The 23,721-nt window shown below is 38.7% G+C and overlaps 1 protein-coding gene across 6 annotated transcripts in view; it reads left to right on the top strand.

The window, feature by feature from the left end:
* The window catches only part of ERMP1 (endoplasmic reticulum metallopeptidase 1), an 82,520-nt gene that overhangs the window by 34,892 nt on the left and 23,907 nt on the right, over positions 1-23,721 (top strand). For all 6 annotated transcript variants that reach the window (XM_017015139.3, XM_047423898.1, NM_001410952.1 and 3 more), the window contains 7 exons: positions 1,172-1,473; positions 6,981-7,108; positions 8,199-8,304; positions 19,165-19,311; positions 19,983-20,075; positions 20,877-21,089; positions 21,969-22,189. In XM_017015139.3, the coding sequence (XP_016870628.1) occupies positions 1,172-1,473; positions 6,981-7,108; positions 8,199-8,304; positions 19,165-19,311; positions 19,983-20,075; positions 20,877-21,089; positions 21,969-22,189 (1,210 nt within the window). The remainder of the gene's footprint in view (positions 1-1,171; positions 1,474-6,980; positions 7,109-8,198; positions 8,305-19,164; positions 19,312-19,982; positions 20,076-20,876; positions 21,090-21,968; positions 22,190-23,721) is intronic.

Here is a 23,721-nt window from a genome sequence, read left to right as displayed (position 1 = left end):
CACCGCCCAGTCAAAATTTGGTATGCAGTCTGATAAATTCTCAGATCCCTGCAGTTTATCTTTAGGCCCCTTGGATTAGTGACTGTGTAAGGTTTGACTTTTTTTTTTTTTTTTAAGACCTTTAAGAATGCTAGGAAAGGTGATTAAGTCAAAGATATTGTAACCCAGGTGTGTCAAAGCTCATGAAGTGTTAAGCTGGCGTCAAGTTTTCAACAGCTACTGTGTTCTAAAAAGTTTTTGCTAGAATGCAAAGTGTTGCAAGCTTATTAAGGACTTTCTGAAACGTCTCCCACCCCCACTTCCAGCTTTCCCCACTTGGAATGCAGTGAAAAGACAAAAACAGTTTTGTTTTCATTAGGGGTACAGTTGGTTTTGGCCTGAATTGAAGTTATTAGACCTTGGGTGTATGCTAGGAGGGCTAGGTCCATCAAAAGTTTCCCCCGCCCGCCTTATTTAACCTCTTGACTTGATTATTTTTGCTCATTGGTTTCTGCTACTTAAAGTCATTAACCCAGAATCTGTAACGTTCAGGAGTATGCACAGTGAAGTTATATTCTATCCTGCTTAGTCTTTAGCTTTTTTTGTTTGTTTTCTGAGACAGGGCCTGGCTCTGTCGCCCAGGCTGGAGTGCAGTGGCTCCATCTCGGGTCTGTAGCCTCCACCTCCCAGGTTCAAGCAGTCCTCCCACCTCAGCCTCTTGAGTAGCTGGGACTACAGGCGGATAGTAGTCTACATCTGGCTAGTTTTTGTAGTTTTAGAAGAGATGGGGTTTCACCATGTTGCCCAGGCTGGTCTCAAACTCCTGAGCTCAAGCAATCCACCCACCTCAGCCTCCGAAAGTCCTGGGATTACAGGCGTGAGCCACCGTGCCTGGCCAGTGGTCACACGTTTTGAATACATCCCTAGTCCTTGTATTGGTTTGATATGGGGAGAAGTTGGGAGTGGGATGGTGGAGAAAACTGAAGGGGTCAACTCGTGGGAGGCAACAATAAAAATATGGAACTTTATAAGTGATGTTCACTTGGTGTCTGAAATAATGAAAGGCGGTCCCTTTTATATAAGGCAAAGAACTAAGCTTTTTTGGGGAGGAAGGGGTGTGTAGTGGAAAAGTTACCCACGCTAAGTGTCAATTTTAACTACAAACCTTTGTTATTCTTTTGGTTACTTCCAGGGATTATCTTGAACACATAACCTCCATTGGCCCCAGGACTACAGGAAGTCCAGAAAATGAAATTCTGACCGTGCACTACCTTTTGGAACAGATTAAACTGATTGAAGTGCAAAGCAACAGCCTTCATAAGATTTCAGTAGATGTACAACGGCCCACAGGCTCTTTTAGCATTGATTTCTTGGGAGGTTTTACAAGCTATTATGACAACATCACCAATGTTGTGGTAAAGCTGGAACCCAGAGATGGAGCCCAGCATGCTGTCTTGGCTAATTGTCATTTTGACTCAGTAGCAAACTCACCAGGTATGTACCTGTTTTTTAGTCATTTGGAACTTGTCACAGCCCAGAAAGTTTATTAACATAACCCCAAGCTACTTGGGCAATTGTGGGGACCATTTTCTTGGGCAAACCTTTTTTCTTTGTGATGGAAAGCAGGATAATTAGGATAGTATCATTTAGTTTAGGATCTAACCATTCTGTCTTCTCTTAAGTGCTTTATTAATATTATTTTTTGGTGTTAATGCCAGCAGCCCAGTGATAAGACTTGGAATGTTTCTGGTAGACTGAAGCAGCTTTCTCAATGTTACCAGACAGTGTGTGTGTCCTAGTGTCCTGGAGTTAGGTTCTGACACTTAGAAAGTGTTTTACTCAGCTGGGTGTTATACTAGGCTTTGGGGATACCACATAAGGACAGTCCCTGCCTTCAAGGGTTACTGCATGGTTTTAGAGCAGGGGTGTCCAATCTTTTGGCTGCCCTGGGCCACATTGGAAGAAGAAGAATTGTCATGGGCCACACATAATATACACTAATGATGGCTGATGAGCTTAAAAAAAAAAACTCATGTTTTAAGAAAGTTTACAAATTTGTATTGGGCTGCATTCAAAGCTGTCCTGGGCTGCGGGTTGGCGGATATCTCTTCTAGCAGATTCTGTTGACCTATAAAGTGAGAATTTTGCTCCACTGAGGGTGCCATACTGTTAAAGTACCTAATTAATGTGTAAATCTTTCTCTGAAAATCATTTGGCAAAATAGAATACTTGCATTTAGGACAGTGCCTGATGCAGTATATATTTGTCAAATGAATGGGAATCCCCTAAATTGAACTTCCATTTATTAAAATATTTATTTTTCAGAAAATTGTATTCAGTGGTTAAAGGGATTGTAAATAGGGATGGAAAATAGCATTTACAATGGCATAGCATTTTAGTGGTAGACAAGACCTGAGATGGCATCTGGCTGAACCCCTCATTTGATACAGGAGTACATTTAGCTAGCTGGTCATCGCTGATCAGAGACAAAACTAGGATAAGATGCTGGATTTCCTGGCCAGTCAGTTCTTTCAGCTACATTTGAAAGGAAAAAGAATATTAGGGTGTAATTAATACTCCCTTTTGCAAATTGCTTAACTTCTTAGTTTCTCATCTGTGTAATGGAGAAAATAATAGTACTTTCCTAATAGTGTTGCTTGGAGGATTAAAAATAAGTAAAACGCTAAAATAGTACCTGGCATGGAAAGTGATTTTTAAAAGTTTTTATTAACTCTTATGTAATATTAACACTTCTGGATTACTCGAACTTATAGCAGGCCAAATTTGAACGTCTAGAGTTATACAAAATGTAAGTAAAATTTATTTGCTTGATAAAATGATTCATATTAGAATATCTTCATTTAGAAAGCTTGACAATTGCGTTTAGAATGTAACTTGCATTTTCAAAAATCAGTATACACACGTTTGTTAAATAAGCCAGAAGTACCTTCGTGTGCTGCTGGGGTAACCAGTGGTTTAGTGTTTTTTTTTTTTTTTTTTTGGCTGGGGGGCCAAGTCTCACTCTGTCACCAGGCTGGCATGCAGTGGCACAATCTTGGCTCACTGCATCCTCTGCCTCCCGGGTTTAAGCGATTCTCCTACTGTGCCACCACACTCGGCTGATTTTTTTTGTATTTTTGGCAGCGACAGGGTTTCACCATGTTGGCCAGGCTGGTCTTGAACTCCTGACCTCAAGTGATCCGCCTACCTCAGTCTCCCAAATTTCTGAGATTATAGGTGTGAGCCACTGTGCCCGGCCACCAGTGGTTTTTTTATGTCCATTTCAAAGCAGTAATAAATGTCACTCTTTGCCCACTATTATGATGCTTAAATTCTGGGAAGCGGCAAATAAACACCATGGTTGCTTAAGAACATTATATAAGAAGGCTGTATATACAAGAATTAGCAGCAAATGTAGGGACAAAAGAAAAAAGTTTCCCCTCTACCCTTCATAGTTCTTAGCTGAGTGGACCCCTGTAACAAAAGACAGGTTAAAAAGAGAAAAACCAAATAGAAGTTTATTAACACATGCACTTCATGTACATGGGAGATACTCAAGGAAAATGAGTACATCTCAAAGAGGTGGCTTAGAAATCTGGCTTATGTAGCATCTTCAACCAAACAATACATTTTTAGAGAAGTGACAAAGGAAAAGGACCTTGAGTCTCGAGGGGTGGCAAATTGAAGGAAGGCAAATAAATGGTAGAGAAAGGTTAGTTAGTAAAGTGTTATATAGATTCCTTTTGTGCTGTTGCCAGGCCACCAAAAGTTTAAAGTTGTCTTTCTTGATCAACCTTTGTACTTCCTGGTGGAAAGGGGAAGTGGGGACACCTTGGTAAATGTATACCCTGCTTTTAGGCAAACAAGGGGAGGGCAGAGAGCTTTTTTGTATAGTACCTGCTTCTCAGTTGCCTTCAGCTCAAAATAATCCGTATGTCAAAGTGACATATTTTGGAGTGCATATTCAGTTACTCTTTACAAACATAGTGCCAAATGTTACAGATTGTATATGTGGAGTCTAATAATTAAAGGCCAGCATTTTTGTGAGCCATTAGAACCCACTTTTTATTATTATGTTTTAAATAATAGAGACAGGTTCTCACTTTGTTGCCCAGGCTGGTCTTGAACTCCTTAAGTGATTATTCTACCTCATCCTCCCAAAGTGCTGGGATTACAGGTGGGAACCACTGTGCCTGGCCTAGAACGTACATTCATTCATTCATTCACTTATTCATTTATTTATGAGGCGGAGTCTCACTCTGTCGCCCAGGCTAGAGTGCAGTGGCGCGATCTCGGCTCACTGCAAGCTCTGCCTCCCGGGTTCACGCCATTCTCTTGCCTCAGCCTCCCGAGTAGCTGGGACTATAGGCGCCCACCACCATGCCTTGCGAATTTTTTTTTTTTTTGAGACGGAGTCTCGCTCTCGCCCACGCCAGACTGCAGTGGCGCTATCTCTGCTCACTGCAACCTCCGCCTCCCGGGTTCATGCCATTCTCCTGCCTCAGCCTCGCTATTTTTTTGTTAGTAGAGATGGGGTTTCACTGTGTTAGCCAGGATGGTCTCAATCTCCTGACCTCGTGATCTGCCTGCCTTGGCCTCCCAAAGTGCTGGGATTACAGGTGTGAGCCACTGCGCCTGGCCCTAGAACCTACTTTTAACTAAAATTTTATAGGAATACCCTTAGCAACAATCTCAAGGCAATTTCTGTCAATAATAAATTGTTAAAAATAGTGTTTCACACATTCATCAAATAGATTAAGCTTGTCCAACCTGCAGTCCTGGGTAGCTTTGAATGTGGCCCAATACAAATTCATAAACTTTCTCAAAACGTGAGATTTTTTTTTCAATTTTTATTTTATTTTTTAGCTCATCAGTGATTGTTAGTGTTAGTGTCTTTTATATGTGGCCCAAGACAGTTCTTCTCTTAATGTGGCCCATGGAAGCCAAAAGATTGGACACCCCTGAAATAGACTATCACCTAAATCCTTTTAGTGGATGGCCTAATTGAAGCACTTCTTTTTTCTTTTTTTCTTTTTAAGTTCTCATCTGTGTATCTAGGACTCAGGAATTGATACCAATTAGGAGTAATGTTATCCACAGAAAAGCCTTAATTATCTTCTTGAGTTTGCTGTGTGGTTCCAGGTCGTTGGTAGAAGAGGCATTGAGTTATTTTGGGGGTGGCTTCAATTTCAAGGTTAATTCTAAATGGAAAGGGATGTCAGCTAACCACCTAGCCCTTATAGATACTGTCCTCTTAACTTTCCTTCCCTTTCTTAAAGATATTTGACTCTTCTGTAGTTCTCTTTTAACGCACCAGAACCATTAAAATAAGGGAAGCTGAATGGACAGTTTAACTTTTTAATCAACCCTGTATAGATACCTTTCAATTTCCCTTTCTCTCTTTTTGAATAAAGAAACATTTTATTGTTTGCTCTCTATTTTAAAGTAACTCACAGTGTCAAATTAAAAAGAGAGTTTATTTCATTAGGTTTTTGGAAGGTGACACATTTTGCTAATAGCAGCATTTTCTATTTGATAGTAATTAAATGATTATTACTTTGTTTCACTTCGATTGAAATACAAACCAGTAATCACCACCAAGACAAGTATGGTTAATAGGTAATTTCTTCTTAAGTAGGAATGGGGTCTGGAATTTAACAGAGCCCAAACAAGCATTTTAATTTTAGCTAGCTACAGAGCCTTCCTCAGATTTGCAAAGAGAGGGAAAAATGAACATTGAATACCTACCAGGTGCTAGGCACTGGGCATTATCTTGTGTGACTCTTAAACCTGTGAGGTAGGTATCATTAGCTTGCTCTTTCAACCAGGAAATAGTGGAGTAAAGTGACAGAGCTCAAATTTACTTCCAAATCTTTCTTGCTCTCAAATCCACGCCAAACTCTTTGGCACCCTGCTTCAAATGTGTAAACCCAGAAATGTTACTGCCTGAGTTACGTTAGTGCTTATTTACTTTGATTACTCTTTAAGTTTTCTGATATGGAAAGTTTCAAATATATTCAAAAGCAGAATTGTTTAATGAACCCCAGTGTACTTATCTCCCAGCTTCAGCAGTCTGATCTTGTTTCTTTCCTACCACTACCCTCCCAACTTCTTGATTATTTTGAAGCAGATCTTAGCTATATCAGTTCCTCTCTAAAAGTATTTCACTCTGTGTTGCTGGCAGATAAGGGCCCTTTTTGATACCACCAATTGCCTCACCTAAAAAAACCTAACAGTAATTCCTTGGTATCATCAAATATCCAATCAATTCCTTTAATTGTCTCTTACAATGCTTTAAAAAAGCAAGACAGTTAAGTCATCTTTATAGTTACTTTTAATTAACATACAAAATTTCTGAATCAAGAAGAGGTTCAGAGATTCAACTGAGTGTGTGTTCTGGGACCTAGGATACTACTTAGGTCATTAGTCTCCTTTCCTGTGACTTACTAGATTAGGTATCTTCTTTTTAGTTTTCCATCACATAATCCCCTTGGAGAAGCCTTAAAGGAATGTTACACCATCCAAAGTGACCTCTCTGTGCAGCTTTTATGATTTTGGCAGGAAAACAAGCAAGAAAGGAGTGGGTGCAGTGGGAGATGATGCAGGAAGCTGTGAGCACCAGAAGTGAGACTATTACAGAGGATGTGGAATACGGGTAAAGAATAGAACAGATTGCCTTGGTTTGCTGAGAATACCAGTTTCCAGTATGACTTTAGGTCCCCTCAGGTTACTTCATTTAGCAGACACTAATTGAGTGACTCTGGTGGGTCAGGCATGGTAGTAGGCATTGAGAGTAAGTCAGTGAGCAAACCAGACAAAGATCCCTTCATGGAACTTACTGCTGGTGGGTGTGATTGTCACCTGATGATGACAGAGCTATGCTTCTGGTCATGCAGCTATTGTGATGCTTCTCTGAGGAGAAAGCTCCATTCCTAGTCCTAATGGGTCATATTGTAAACATTTTAAAATCTGAGCAGCAAATTTGTTTTTCTGATTTGAAGGTGCCAGTGATGATGCAGTTAGCTGCTCAGTGATGCTGGAAGTCCTTCGCGTCTTGTCAACATCTTCAGAAGCCTTGCATCATGCTGTCATATTTCTCTTTAATGGTGCTGAGGAAAATGTCTTGCAAGTGAGATTTTACTGTTTTAAATATCAGGCTTGAATAAGGATGAGATTAATAATAATAGCTAAATATTATTTACTAAATAGTAAATGCATTTTTTATGACTCCTGTGGGTAGTATAAAATAATATGCAGAAAAATACTTTATGAGCAGTACTTTAACAAATTCACAACCACTTATGTAGAGATGTTTAATATTTGGAAAACTCCACTTAGCAGATTATTGTGGCAGGATTTGATTGAGAGAAGGGCTCTCGCTGGCATAATTACTCTCCTCAGGTTTTCTTTGACATTGAAGTTTCAGAGATGTTTTGAGACAGGCACAAATAAATGCCCAGCCATATGGATCGTCTCTTCTCCTGTTCTCTTTTTTTTCTTTCTTTTTAAAAAGAGAAGGGGGCCAGGCACGCTGGCTCATGCCTATAATCCCAGCACTTTGGGAGGCCGAGGCAGGCAGATCACGAGGTCAGGAGTTTGAGACCAGCCTGGCCAACATGGTGAAACCCCGTCTCTACTAAAATTACAAAAATTAGCCAGGCGTGGTGGTGGGTGCCTGTAATCCCAGCTATTCGGGAGGTTGAGGCAGGAGAATCGTTTGAACCTGGAACGTGGAGATTGCGGTGATCCGAGATCGAGCCATTGCACTCCAGCCTGGGCCACAGGCTCTGTTTCAAAAATGAGCAAACAAAAAAAGAGGGAGTCTCGCTATGTTGCCCAGGCTGGTCTCGAACTCCTGAGCTCGGGTGATCTTCCCACCATGGCCTCCCAAAGTTTTGGGATTACAGGTGTGAGCCACCGTGCCTGGCCCTCTTTGCCTTTTCTTTTGCACAGCCTTGTACTTACCAGGGATGTTGTTTGGCACCGCTGATGGTCACCAGGCTGCCTTCTGTGATAGGTGACTTTCCGAACCTGATGTGCATGGCCATTATGCATAGGAAAAGAAGCAGAAGATGTCTTTGGATACTGCCTTTGAAGAGCGATTATTTTGTTTTCATATTCCTTACCTCATCAAAGTAGTCTCTCTGTGTTTAAGCAAAATCAAGACTGATAATTTAAGATTGTTTAACAAATATTTGTTTTCTTTCCTTCTCTTTAAGGCCAGTCATGGTTTCATTACTCAGCACCCCTGGGCTAGCTTGATTCGTGCATTCATTAACCTAGAGGCAGCAGGTGTAGGAGGGAAAGAACTTGTATTCCAAACAGGTATGTGAGATTGTGCGTTGTATATTTTAATGCAATTCTAGTTTTTGTAAAAGTAGAAAGTTTTTGATTATAAATAATATCTTCAATAAACAGTCTCTTGAATGAGCATTCTTTTTAAAGCATGAGGTGGTGTTAGCTTGTCTTTGTTAAAAATTTTGAACCAAATAATGCAGCATCTAACACTTGTATAGTGCTTATTATATGCCAAGTGTTGTTCAAACCATTTCATATATATTAAGTCATTGAATCCTCCAAACAACATGTAAGATAAGTACTGTTACTTCCATTTTAGAGATGAAACTGAGTCCAGAGAGATTATAACTTGCCTAAGGTTTCACAGTTGTTTAATGGCAGAGTGTGATTTGAACCTAGACAGTCCGGGTCCAGAAACTTTGTTCTTAACCTCTAATTGGATTGTTATATAGGTAGTGAACTTTTAGCCACTGTGGGTGGTTATGATATAAATATTGTTAAATGTCAATCATTTCATGAGTTAAAATGAGAAAATTTACCTGTAGTGTATGTAACAGGTTTAAATTTATCATTGATTTAGTGGAATGTTAAAAAAATTTAGTAATATTTAATCAGCCAGAATAATTTTTATTTTATTGTTTTTTTAGAGACAGAGCCATGCTCTGTCACCCAGGCTCGAGTGCACTGGTGCCATCATGCAGCCTTGACCTCCTGGGTTCAAGTGGTTCTCCTGTCTCAGTTTCCTGAGTTGCTGGGACTGCAGGTGCTTGCTATCACGCCTGGCTATTTAAAAATTTTTTTGTAGAGACAGGCTCCCATTATGTTTCCCAGGCTGGTCTCAAACTCCTGGGCTCAAGTGGTCCTCCTGCCTTGGCCTCCCAAAGTGCTGGGATTACAAGCATGAACCACCATGCCTGGCCCAGAGAAATAGTTTTAGTTTTATGATTAAACTTTTCTAAGGATATCAACTTAGCCTATTTATGCCTAGTGTTCCATTATTGGAACGCTAAGCATGTGGGAGTTATTTATATCCTACTGCTCAAGCCTCATCGCCAAGGTCTGATTTTTCACACATGCAAAAATTAAAAAAATTGCAACCTCAGGCATAAATGGGTTTTAATTGTCTTTATTAACAAAATTCAGAGCTCATAGATTTTTTTAGTGGGGGCATACTAAAATTTGACATTGGAAGTTCCATTCCATTTCCCTGCCCTGTTAGAAATTTGGGTAATGCATTTTATCCAGAGATGTAGCATTTGCTAGATGTTTTAATATTCAAGAGTGTGTTGTGTGCTGAGATGGGCTAGGTGAAGTAAGATGATGTGGGAACTTGTTTTGTAGCACCCTCTTAAGACCTGATTTTATTTAAATTATGAAACTATGCTAAGTATGTCTTCATAACCTAAACAATACTATATTTTAATAGTCTCCATCAAACTTATTTTAATCTTTTATCTTTCAAAATGTATGTATATTTTACTTTAGCTAAGCGTTTGAGATTCTCAAGGTCATGATGTCAGAAGCAGCAAGGTTCTGTTTTCAATTCTCAAACCTTTCTGCTTTATTCTTACTCTAACTAATGAGAAGAAGCTGGGATCTAATATCTACAAGAGTGAGTAGATACATTATTATAGAGATATATCTATATCTATATATTTATTTATTTATTTTGAAGCAGGGTCTCACTCCGTTGCCCAGGCTGGAGTGTAGTGGTATGATCTCGGCTCACTGCAACCTCTGCCTTGAGAGCTCAAGACATCCTCCCAGCTCAGCTTCCCAAGTAGCTGGGACTACAGGCATATACCACCATGCCCGGCTAATTTCCTTTTTTTGTAGAGATGGGGTTTGGCCATGTTGCCCAGGCTGGTCTCAAACTCCTGAGCTCAAGCAGTCCTCCTGCTTCAGCCTCCCAAAGAGCTGGGATTACAGGCACGAGCCACCACGCCCGGCCTCTTTCTATTTCTTGGATGTCAGTTAGGATAGGAGGAACACATACATGTAACAACCACCAGATCAAAAAGCAGCAAAAGAAAATTCTGAAGGAGAGAGGACACTCAGTCTTCTTTCCTATTGTGAAAAATGTCAGGGCTCCATGTAAGCAGGAGTGTGTCTGTGTATTTTCCATGTTGAAGTATACTATGTGTTAAGTGCCTTCATCTCCATGCTTTTAATTTATTAGCACAGCACCTTGCCCCTATACTGCTCCTATCCAGAGAAAAACCAGCCTTATGGTTTAATCTGCACCCTTTCTAGATTTTTTTCTATGTACATATATATTAATGCATAAGTATTTTATGTACGTATGTTAACATATTTTACATATGTGTAGTCCGGAGAGGTTAAAACACTTACCAAGGGCTAGTCAGGTCCAGACTGACTAACATTACTTATTTACATTTATTAAGTACTCATTTTTGGTAGGCCTGGGCAGCCCAGAGTCCTTACTCTTTTTATTAAATGCATATGGTTTTAGACAAAAATTCTGCAGCTGCATAAATTCTAAAAATAATTACATTATCTGAAAGGGTGTAAACAAACTGTTAATAATGCTCCTAGCTGGATGGTGAGCAGTTGCTGGTAGAACTGGGCTGTGTGTGACTGGAATGGAGGACTAGGTTAAAGGTAAAACAACAGTTTAAATTCTCTGTTGCTTCATGAATTTAAGACCAGAATTGATTGTCATTAATGCACTACTTTCTATAATTTTATGTATTTAAATTTTTGCAATGTATATGATCACTTTAATAATAAAGCAAAAAACAGATTTATGACTGGTTAGTATAAACATAAAATTTAAATGTTTTACTTGTTCTGAAATCCCCATGTTTCAAAATTAATTTTTTTGGAGGGGTGTCATACAAAAGATTTGAAGAGATTATTTCCCTCCTTACTCTGAAATTTTACATGATTTTTTCTCCCTCTAGGTTTTGGAGCTCATTATTTTGGCTAAACTCCATACCTGAAAGCTTTCTGGGTGCTTTCTGACATTCTGATACCTTTCCCAGCATCTCTGTCACTTTTAATGCCACTGCCTACAAAAGACTGCGCTTCTTGTGGGCATGGCTTTCAAAAAGCTAGTTAGTGTTATTTTCATGTTTGACTAAAAGAGGATAAAGGCCCTCCTGGGTTTGGAGTTGTGCTTGAGAGTATATGCCAGATTGTGCTGTCCTCAGCTTTTTAAACCATACTCCTTTTTCTGTGTGATAATATTTGTCCTGCCCTGGAAACTTTTTGGTTAAACAGTTTGTGCTCTGGAACTCCCTTGTCACTTCTGAGAGCGACATTCATTTGGGGAGTTTTTAGTGACTAGAATAATCATTACTACCTAATTTTTAAGAAGGGCCAGAAAGAATGACTTGATTTTATCAGACCAGTGACCTCATTTCATGAGTGAGAGAGGCTTGATAGCAAAAGGGTCACAGAATCTTTTTTCCTCTTGGGAAAATATTCATGCCCCTGTAATTCTACCATCCAGAGCAAACTAGTGTAATAGTTTAGTCTATACTCTTCTAGAATTTTTTTCTAAATGCAAACATTAATATACATTTATATATGTGTATATATATTTCTTGGCAAAAATAGAATCATATTCTGTCTGCTACTTTATAGCCACCTTTTCTTTTTGAGGTGGAGTCTCGCTCTGTCGCTTAGAGTGGAGTGCAGTGACGCGATCTCAGCTCACTGCACCCTCTGCCTCCTGGGTTCAAGCGATTCTCTTGCCTCAGCCTGCCATGTAGCTGGGATTACAGGTGTGTGACACCATGCCTGGCTAATTTTTGTATTTTTAGTGGAGACGGGGTTTCACCATGTTGGCCAGGCTGGTCTCGAACTCCTGAGCTCAGGTGATCGGCCCACTCAGTTTCCCAAAGTGCTGGGATTACAGGTGTGACCCACCACGCCCGGCCTGTAGCCTTCTTTAGAATGAATTCTTTTTTTTAAAGTTACAGCTTTATTGAGATATATAATTCTTAGTTGTGCAATCATCATCATAATCAATTTTAGAATGTTTTTATCATCCCAAATAGGAAACTCATTAGCAGTCACTCCCATTTTCCCCCATCCCTAGGCAACTGCCTGTCTACTTTGTGTCTCTATAGATTTTCCTGCTGTAGACATTTCATATAAATGTAATCATACAACACGTGATTGTTTGCGTTTGGGTTTTTTTACTTAGTGTAATGTATTTCAGATTGTTAATCTAAATAACAGAGGGAGACTCTCAAAGAAGATGGTATTTAGTAATGGGTGTTGCAGTAGGAATACATGTGCCATAGTAAACTGTGAAACTATGTGCCATAGTAAACCAGGGCAGTAAAGGAAGACAAAAGTTTTTATAGGAAAAATGAAGAGGATTACATAATTTTTTAGGGATAATTATCCTTGGCTACAAGGATCAATAACAAGGGTGGCACCAGTCTGAGATTGGACAGGCAGTTGCTGGGCTGATGTCCTTGCTGAAGTTTTTTGTTTGATATGAGGTTGCAATGGCCTTTATGCAAGGTTGTGGTTTTTGAAGAGTCTTTTGTGATAATTCTTGTTATCAGGCATTTGTGCATGAGAACCCTCCCTTCATGGCCTTCCCTGGCTCCGTTATCGGAGTTTTTAACGCAAGTGAGTCTGTTTTGATTCTGACAGCTTTCACAAGGTTCATCCACATTGTCGCATGTATTAGTACTTCATTTTTTTTTAATGGCTGACTAACCCATTGTATGGATGTATTATGTTTCGTTTATCCATTCATCCATCGATGGATATTTGGATTGTTTCCACTTTTAGACTTTTATGATAATGCTGGAGTAAACATTCATGTGTAAGTCTTTGTGTAAACGTATATTTTCATTTCTTTTAGATACCTAGGAATGGAATTCCTGGGATGTATAGTAAATTTATGCATAGCTTTTTAAGAAACTGCCAAATTAAACAGTTTTATTTGAGAATAAATGCAAATACATATAACAGTAAGGATTTTTAAAATACTTGATCAGCAAAAAGTTAGTAAAATGATAATGCCCAGTGCTGATGAGTATAAGCAGTCATTTTCATACACTGTTAGTGAGAATGTAGATGTGCATTTTGGCAACATGTATTACTTTTTTAAATGTGCAGGCTCTTCAGTTCAGCAGACCCATTTCTGGGAATTTAACCTGCAGAAATAGTTGACATAAATCTAAGTCATCTTGGGTTTTCTTTTCTTTTCTTTTTTTTTTTTTGAGATAGGATCTTGCTTTGTTGCCCAGGCTGGAATGTGGTGGAGCAGTCATGGCTCACTGGTTTCCAGCTCCTGGGCTCAAGTGATCTGCCTGCTTCAGCCTCCTGAGTAGCTGGGATGACAGGCACGTGCCACCATGCCCAGCCAGTTTTTTACTTTTTGTAGAGACAGGGTCTCACTGTGTTGCCCAGGCTGGTCTCAAACTTCTGGACTTAAGCAGTCTTCCTTCCTTGGCCTCCCAAAGTGCTGGGATTAAAGGCATGAGGCATCATGTCCAGTCTTGGTTTTCTCTTAAGAGTAGAAAATTGGAAATACCTTTAGTGTATGAGTAGGAGACTGGTCATGATAATTTTTTTCTTTCTTCCATCATTAATTTTTCTCTCTCTATAGGATCATTTCCATTTGCATGCAGACATACCTTTTCCTCCATTTTAAAGAAAACCACTTTTATCACAACCTGCTAGCTAGTCTTATTCCTCTGACCCTCTACTGCAGAATTCCTCAAAAGAATGGTCTGTAGTCATAGTCTTGAATAACTGCTTTTTTTTTTTTTTGAGATAGGATCTTGCTTTGTCATCTAGGCTGGAATGCAGTGATGCAATCATGGCTCACAGTTCTCCAGCTCCTGGGCTCAAGTGATCCACCTTGATATACCGAGATCCACCAAAATCGATAGATCCACCATGTGATCTATTCTTGAACAATTCTAGTCAGCTTTAGCCTCCCCACTTCACCACGACTATTCTTGTAAAGGTCACATTGGCAAATTCAGTCAGTTTTCAGGCCTCATGTTACTTGGCTTCCATCATAATATTTACCACTCTTAGTCTCTTTTATTAGTTCCTCCTTTTTTTTTTTCCTTTTGTGTATTGATGCCGTAACTAGAGATTGAAGGAAGTAAAGCAGTGGAAGGATGCTGTGGGTCTGCTGAGCTGGGTCTGTTTTCCCTGGACTTCTAGAGAACTTTGACTTACTATTCTTGGCACTGAGGCCTACCTCCTCTGAACGTTACGCATGCCCATACTCTTTGCATTAAGAAAGATGAGGCTCATTCTTGAGAAATGAACACACAAGAAGCTGGAAGCATCATAGGATTTAGATGATGGCAGGAGAAAGAATGTCAATTGAAAATGTTTCTGTATCTGCCTGCCACCTTACTCTGTAAGATAACTAAAAGGTTTTGCGTGGAGGTAGGATAGGGTACTGATTAAGAGCATAGGCTCTGGCCGGGTGTGGTGGCTTACGCCTGTAATCCCAGCACTTTGGGAGGCCAAGGCGGGCGGATCACCTGAGGTCAGGAGTTCGAGACCAGCCTGGCCAACATTGTGAAACCCTGTCTCTACTAAAAGTACAAAAATTAGCCAGGCATGGTGGCGGGCGCTTGTAATCCCAGCTACTTGGGAGGCTGAGGCAGGAGAATCGCTTGAACCCGGGAGGCAGAGGTCACAGTGAGCCGAGATCATGCCATTGCATTCCAGCCTGGACGACAGAGCGAGAGACTCTGTCTCAAAAAAAAGGCTGGGCACGGTGGCTCATGCCTGTAATCCCAGCACTTTGGGAGGCCGAGGCAGGCGGATCACGAGGTCAGGAGATCGAGACCTTCCTGGATAACATGGTGAAACCCCATCTCTACTAAAAATACAAAAAATTACCCGGGCATATTGGCAGGCGCCTGTAGTCCCAGCTACTTGGGAGGCTGAGGCAGGAGAATGGTGTGAACCCGGGAGGCAGAGCTTGCAGTGAGCCAAGATTGAGGTGCTGTACTCCAGCCTGGGAGACAGAGCGAGACTCTGTCACCAAAAAAAAAAAAAAAAAGCATAGGCTCTGTAGTTAGATGATCTAAGGTCAAACCTCAAAACTTTAGCTATAGCACATTCTACACGTGGAACCTTGGACAGGTCATGTGACCACTCCGAGCTTCACTTCCTCATCTGTAGTTCATTCTTTTTTCTTGCCGAACACTAGTCAATTCTACAACAATTGATCCATTCCGTTGGTGCTGTTATGTTGTTTCCAGGTTTTTGCTATGAATGGTGCTGCTGTGAACATTCTCGTAAATGTCTTTTGGTACACATGTATGTGTATGCACATTTCTGAGTGGAATCGCTGGGTCATAAGATGTGTATATGTTCAGCTTTGGTAGATATTTTGGGTAGGTAATACCAACTTTAGATGCAAAAGTCCTAAATTAAGTATTAGCAAACTGAATCCAGGAATATTTATATATACAAAAGATAATACTTTCCAACCAAGTTGATCAACAGGATGGTATAATATTTGAAAATCAATCTGTGTAATTCACTACATTATCAGAATAAAGAGAAAAATCATGTCAATTGATAATCTCAGGATGATCATCTCAGATAAACAGGGACATGCTCTTCTGTAACAGAACATTGATCACACTCAAGAAATATTAATATTAAACTATAATAATGCATATTCAGATTTTTCCAGTTGTTCCATTAATGTCCTAACCATTTAAAAAAAAATCTGGGTTCCTACCCAGGATCAAATATAGCATTTAATTATAAAGTTGAAAACTTAATTATTGTAAGGTGAAAATCTTTTTAACTCTGTCTCATGGAAGAGGGTGGATTGCCTTGCCTGCCTAGGCATTTTTTTTAACCTCTCTTCTCAAATACAACTCCCTCCCATCTAAGAGGAACTATTATCCTAAGTTTTAAGATAATTAATGATAGTTTGGCTTTACCTGTTTTTCAGTATGGTTTTCATTGTATTTTTTAGCATAAATTTCTTAATATCAAATAGTAATATTTTAATAATAGTATTTTAATATGATAAGATCTCGTAATGTACGTATTTCCCCATCATCATAGTTCTTTTTCCTTTTGTATTTGTGTCCTCAGTGCATCACATCAGGATGCATGTGGTATCTGTTTGTCTCATTATTAATGATACTACATTTTCATCGTTTGATTAAGGTATTTATTTGCCAGGTTTTTCTACTATTTCTTTCTTTGTACAAGTTACTGATTTCCCCTTAGTGATAGATACTTTAGGTAAATATCCTGTTTGTCATAAAACTTTGATCCTAGTTTTAGCAATCATTGATGACTCTTGTCCCCAAGCATTTTTATTACAATGTTTACCAAATGCTACTGCTGAGTTTCTGGTTCCATCATTCTGCCTGTAGGTCATAGTTGGAATTCTGCAAGAAGGAAGGCTTTCCATTTTCCTTTTTTTTTTTTTTTTTTTGTTATTTCAGTACTTTATGTATTTTAATTTTACTCTATATATTCTGTTACTATTGTTTATTTTGTTGCATGAATTGTCCCAGTTTAGGCCAGTGGTGTCTATTTCAAATCAGTGCCTGAGCCCCTTTGACATGTCTTTTTGATCACTTTCTTACTTTCTGGCACAGATGTTTCAACTTACCTTGTACTTTGCTAGTCCCAGACCTGGAATCAGCCATTTCTCTAAGGAGGCTTGGTTTCTTTTGGTGGGGAATAGTATTCAAAAGTAAATGGTGCCAGATACAGTTTTTCTTTATATTTATCTTGTTTGGGGTTTGTAGACCTTTTTGAATTCGTGGCTTGAATTCTATGAGTTTTGGAAGATTCTTGGCCATTAAGTCTTTAAACATTTATCTTCTCCATTCTATCTTCTGTTCTTTTGGGACTCCAATTACTCACATTTGTGTATTTTCCAACCTTTTTTTCTTTTTATGCTTTAATTTTAATCCTTTCTTCTGCTGTATTAAACTTTGTGTTAAGCCCATTTATTAAAATTCGCAACATCAGTTATGTTTTTTCATTCTAGGATTTCCATTTGTAGGACTCTTTTAAATAGATTATACTTGTCTGGTGAAATTACTGATATCTGTGTTTTTTAAAACATATTAATCATAATTATTTTAGAATCTGTGTCTGGTAACTCCAGTATCTGGATTACTTGTATGTCTGTTTCTATAGGGTCCCTCTGCTTTTTTGGGTCATTTTTAATTTTTAATTTTTATTTTTTCAGATGGAGTCTCACTCTGTCACCCAGGCTGGAGTGCAGTGGCACAATCTTGGCTCAGTGCAGCCTTCACCTCACAGGTCTAAGCAATTCTCCTGCCTCAGCCTCCTGAGCAGCTGGGATTACCATGCCCTGCTTATTTTTGTATTTTTAGTAGAGGTGGGGTTTTGCCATGTTGGCCAGGCTGGTCTTAAATGCCTGACCTCAGGTGCTCTGCCCACCTCGGCCTCCTAAAGTGCTGGGATTATATGCGTGAGCCACTGCACCCAGCCTTGGTCATTTTTTAAAATGTAGGAAAGCAATTTTATAATCTGTGAAGTTAAAAAAACAATATTCTTAGATTCCCTGACATTCAGTTACTTGGTCTGTTTACATCAGTCAATATGTTGCTAAGTTTTGTGGTAACAACCCCAAAATCTTGGTGGTTTACAACAGCAAAGGCTTATTTCTTGCTCGTGTTGCATTTTGGTTTCTGAATAACTGCAGTTATGGTCCACGGTTATTATGTTCCATGTGTCTTATTCATTCTGGGATCCAGGCTGAAGGAGAAGCCCCTATAAGGGATGTATTGATCTCACAAATCAAAGTTAAGGATAAGTATGAATGATGTTAATGCCTTTGAAAACTCTGCCCAGTTGAGGGTCATGTCATTCCTCCTCACAGTCTGTTGGCTAGAGCAAGTCATGTAGCCACGCCTGCAGTTAATAGGTACAGAAGAGTATGTACTCATTCCCCAGGCAGGCATTACAAGGTATGTGGCAAGAGTAGGAATGTATAATCCTTTTTCAGCGAGGGAAGAGTGAATAATTATACAATTATACATATAATTATATAATTATAATTATATAAATATACGTATAATTATATAATTATATAAATTATAAAACAATGTATCCCACTATCCTACAGGAAAAACTCCCATTTGAAAAAGCTGTAGATGTATGAGATACAGATGGAAAATTATTAATAATGATAAATTATAAAAAGTAACAAGGAACTTTATGGCATATTCAGTGAAATGTTAAGCAGTTATCAAAATGATTATTATAATACAGATTGAGCATCCCTAATCTGAAAATTTGAAATCCATAATGCTCCACAATTCACAACTTTTTGAGCACTGACATGATGCTCAAAAATGTTCATTGGAGCATTTCTGATTTTGGATTTTAGGATTAGGGATGCTTACTAGTATAATGCAGATATTCCAAAATCCGAAAAAGTAAAAAATCCAAAATACTTCTGATCCCAAGCATTTCAGATAAGGTATACCCAATTTGTATCTAGCAACATAGGAAAATGCATTTAATATAATGTTAAGTGAAAACAAATGTACAAAGTATATATATCTTGAGTACAGCTATATACACACAATTCTACATTAGTAAGAAAATTAAAGATATACAATTGATAATAGGCATTTTAGGATGATAGATTTATGAATGATCTTTCATTTTCAGACAGACTTTTGTATTGCTGTTATTTTATACTTTATTTTCACAAAAGGTTTTTATTCTAAAAGTCAAACACATATATCAGAGAAACATTGGAAACTACAGAAAAAGGGATGAAAAGGTACATATTGGACCCGTCTCCCAAAACCACCACTTTTACTGTTTTCTATGTGTTGAAAAACATTAGTATGTTAAAAAAAATTGCCGGAATACCTTCTATTGTGTTGTCATCTTTCATTTTAGGTCCTGAAAATCCTTGGTTGGTTCAAGCTTATGTTTCAGCAGCTAAACACCCTTTTGCTTCTGTGGTGGCTCAGGAGGTTTTTCAGAGTGGAATCATTCCTTCAGATACTGACTTTCGTATCTACAGGGATTTTGGGAACATTCCAGGTATATTGTCAATGGTTACGGCCTACTGTGCAGCATTTATTTATCAAAAGCAAATTTTAAATCTTGAAAGTATGTGAGTAAACAGCATTTTCTGAGATCAAATTCTTTATGTGAGAAATATACATTGACTCACTAAAACAGAGTTTGTTTCCTTTTTTAAACTCCATACTAATTTAAATGCTGGCCTCCTCTAAAATATGTCATCTTTCCCCATAGAAGAACAGGGGTGAACTGTTTAGCACCTCATTCCCAAAAGATGGTAATAGATCCTTCAGGGGTCTTTCGTTGTTGTCTTGGTTTGCCAACTCCCTTGGCAACTTGTATGTACAACTTATTTGAAGTTAAAATTTGGCTCTGGCCTGGCAAGAATGTAGGTGGCAAAATTTTCATGACCTCCCAAACTCAATATTCCTATCCTTGCTGTGTGACTTGTAATGCCTACCTGTGGAGTAATATACTTCTTCAATCATTATGTATCGAATTATGTACCAAAGCTATAGACTGTGTAAGAATTTGGAAGAGAATTTATATCAGTCGTTTGTAAATGTGACAAAGCAATCGTGCCACTGCTTTGACATTTTGTCTTTTAGGAATTTATTAAAGAAATAGGTCGAAAGCAAGGTTGATCTTTAAAGCAAAATGACTTTTTTTTTTCTATATATATGTTTTAGGAATAGACTTAGCTTTTATTGAGAATGGATACATTTATCACACCAAGTATGACACAGCGGACAGAATTCTAACAGATTCCATTCAGAGAGCAGGTTGGTATTCCAATTTAGACTTTTGATATACACTAAGATGGAATGTTAGGGATGATACATAAACTTGTAAATATTCTGTGGCCTGTGCATTAGAGAGGCAGTATGCAATGTGAATGAGCTAGGGCTTTGGAGTTGGAGAGATGAGATCTTGAATTTTAGTCTTGTAGTCTAGTGTAGCAATTAAGGTCAGGAATATTCATTGTGAGGAAATGAAAAAGGAGTTGGCCCAGGGTTGGGAGGATTGCTGAGTGGTAAGAATGTAGCTCTGTTAGTCTCCCATGATGTTTTCCTGTGGAACTCTGCTAGCTCTCCTCAATTTTTAACACATGTGTGACAGCTTGTTCAGCATCTCTGAGCTTCGTGAAAGGCCTTTGTCTCTTGGTTCACCACTAAATTTCTGATATCTAGAAGAGTGTCTAGTACAGTTAATATATATTATTAAATGAATGGGTACCAAGAAACAGCCATTGGATTTGTCAACAATGAAGGTACAATTGATCACAGAGAATAGTTCTAATAGAAGGGAAAAGATACAGGCCAGTTGGCTGAGCGTCTGAGTGGAGAGGAAATGGAGAAAGGCAGGGGATGGACCTTATTTGAGAAATTTAGTAAAAAAAGTGAGGGAGAGCAGTAGGATGGTAGAAAGCGATTTCTGTTCACATTCTTTCTAACCATTTCTTCATTCAAACAGTATATGGTTTATTTCTGCTTTAAATAGTGGTATGTGTAAATCACAAATAGTTTATTCAGCCTTTTTATCTTTTTCCTTTTCTTTCTTTTTTTTTTTGTTTTTACTAATAGGTGACAACATTTTAGCAGTTCTTAAGCATCTAGCTACATCTGATATGCTGGCTGCTGCTTCTAAGTATCGACATGGAAACATGGTCTTCTTTGATGTGCTGGGCCTGTTTGTCATTGCCTACCCCTCTCGTATTGGCTCAATCATAAACTACATGGTGGTAATGGGTGTTGTTTTGTACCTGGGCAAAAAATTTTTGCAGCCCAAACATAAGAGTAAGTATTTTCCTCTAAAACTACAAATACTGGCATTGCTGTAGAATGTGCTTGAAGTTTTTCAGTCAGTTTGTTTATATCTTCCCAGAAAGCTAAAAATCTTAAGACAATGTTTGCTTTATATTGTAAGAAATTTTTAAATATTAAATTAATATGCTTATTTTACTTTTAGTCTTGGTGAAGCAGTCAATTTTTATATATTTAGGCACTCCATAAAAGTACCACATAGAAACTATTGAAAAATGGTTTGTACAGATTGACTTCTAATGAAAAGTCCCATTAAAAAGTCCACACTACAGACCAATAGCTAGTATGGACCAGTGTCACGAAGTATGAATGAACTGCTTGTGGTTAAACTGTTTCTTTTATTTGAAATATTTCTGCTTGAAATGTTTCAGAGTCTAAGTTGTTGTGTGCTGTTACGAGATAAAATATTTAGCAGCAGTTTAAATAATTCTTTATCAACGCTTATTTTCCCCACACTCCTTATCTTCTTATGTTACCTTATTTTAACAACATTTTATATGGAACTTTGCCTTCCATTCTTGCTAATATTTTGATACACAAAGCATACCAAAAGTGAAGAAGATTAAGACTATCCTCTTCCTTCATAAGGAATGTACCTGAACTATTCCTAGAAGATTTATCTTTTTGAGTGTTTAGTATCTAGAGACTCTTAATAAATGTTACCTGAATATTATTATTTGATACCTCCCTTGTTCTTGTGTTTGGCCAATCTCAACACTAGGACATTTTCATACTTTTCAAGTACAGTGGGGAGTTTTTTGTTTTAATGTTTGCCCATTTAGCTCTACTGACTGGTTATATAACTGATTTGATGAAGATGGTGATTTCAACTTTTTGTTTTCTCTTCATTAGCTGGTAACTACAAGAAGGACTTCTTGTGTGGACTTGGCATCACTTTGATCAGCTGGTTCACTAGCCTTGTTACCGTTCTCATTATAGCAGTGTTCATCTCTCTTATTGGACAGTCTCTCTCATGGTATAACCACTTCTATGTCTCCGTTTGTCTGTATGGAACTGCAACTGTAGCCAAAATAATACTTATACATACTCTTGCGAAAAGATTTTATTACATGGTAAGTGTTTGGTATATTTGTTGATTTCTTTCTGTTGCCTCCAGGGACTGAAGATGAACTTAAGTGTGATTCATTGTATTTGGCCTTTTGAGTGCTAAAAAATTGTTCAGCATGGTTATGGAAAACGCACCTACACTGTGTTAATTTTCTGAAAGATTTCTTATTCTGAGGGTAATGTCACAAAATTCAAATGAGGTTATAAAGCCGGGCTGTTAACAGTGTTAGGGTGGTGGTGACTGGAAGGCTTGTTAGCACAGCCTTCTACTGAATTTGCTGCAGTGTTTGTAAATATGTCCTGGGCTCACCCACTTATTTATGTTATTTGAATATCTGTTCTCCATTGGAGTGTAAGCTCCTTGAGGATAGGGATTGTTTTATTTATTTCTGTATCCTCTGTGCTTAGGTAGTGTCTGACACACAGCATTAACACACAGCAAGTATTTGTTGCCTAAAAGAATGTTGTACTTAAAGTTTTTTCAGTTTTTCCCTCACTGTTTTTTCTTTTTAACTGTATATTGTTGATTCAGATTCTGCATGCATGTATGTCATTGGAGTTAAAAGACACATTGCTAAGGAAAACAGAGGGAAGGGAAATAGGGTTCCAAATGATTTATACTGAGAATATTGTTATATTATTATGGTTTCAAATGCATAAATTTGTTTGGCAAAAATAAAATTAGAAATTAGGGCTGGCCGGGCGCGGTGGCTCACGCCTGTAATCCCAGCACTTTGGGAGGCTGAGGTGGGCGGATCACAAGGTCAGGAGATCGAGACCATCCTGGCTAACACGGTGAAACCCCGTCTCTACTAAAAATACAAAAAATTAGCCGGGCGAGGTGGCGGCGCCTGTAGTCCCAGCTGCTCGGGAGGCTGAGGCAGGAGAATGGCGTGAACCCGGGAGGCGGAGCCTGCAGTGAGCTGAGATTGAGCCACTGCACTCCAGCTGGGGCGACAGCGAGATTCTGTCTCAAAAAAAAGAAATTAGGGCTATGGGCTGGGTGCTGTGGCTCATGCCTGTAATCCCAACACTTTGGGAGGCTGGGCAGGCGGATCGCTTTAGCCTGGGCAACATGGTGAAACCCTGTCTCCACAAAAAATACAAAAAATTAGCCAGGCATGGTGGTGTGTGCCTGTAGTCCCAGCTACCTGGGTGGCTGAGGTAGGAGGATTACCTGAGCCCATGAGATCAAGGCTGCAGTGAGCTGTGATTGTACCACTGCACTCCAGCCTAGGGGACAGAGTGAGACCCTATCTCAAACAAACAAACAAACAAAAATTTAAAAAGCTGTAAAATAATAGGTCTAAAAATGAATTACAGTGAAGAGTCATGGTTTCAGATTGTTTATGTGAATTAAAGAGGAAGATCTTTCTTAGCTCCATGTAAGCCTACTGTTTTCAATTTATCCTGATAAAGATTAGAATGAGACATGGATGATTTTAACCCAACATCCTTCCACAAGTATGTCTTTGGTATCTGAACTTTGGTCTGAGTTTCAGTTAATGTTGGGATGTGTTCTGTGGAACCTTCCATG

The sequence above is a fragment of the Homo sapiens genome, chromosome 9 (assembly GCF_000001405.40).
Source record: "Homo sapiens chromosome 9, GRCh38.p14 Primary Assembly".
NCBI lineage: Eukaryota > Metazoa > Chordata > Mammalia > Primates > Hominidae > Homo > Homo sapiens.
This window is presented reverse-complemented; position numbering and strand designations above follow the sequence as displayed.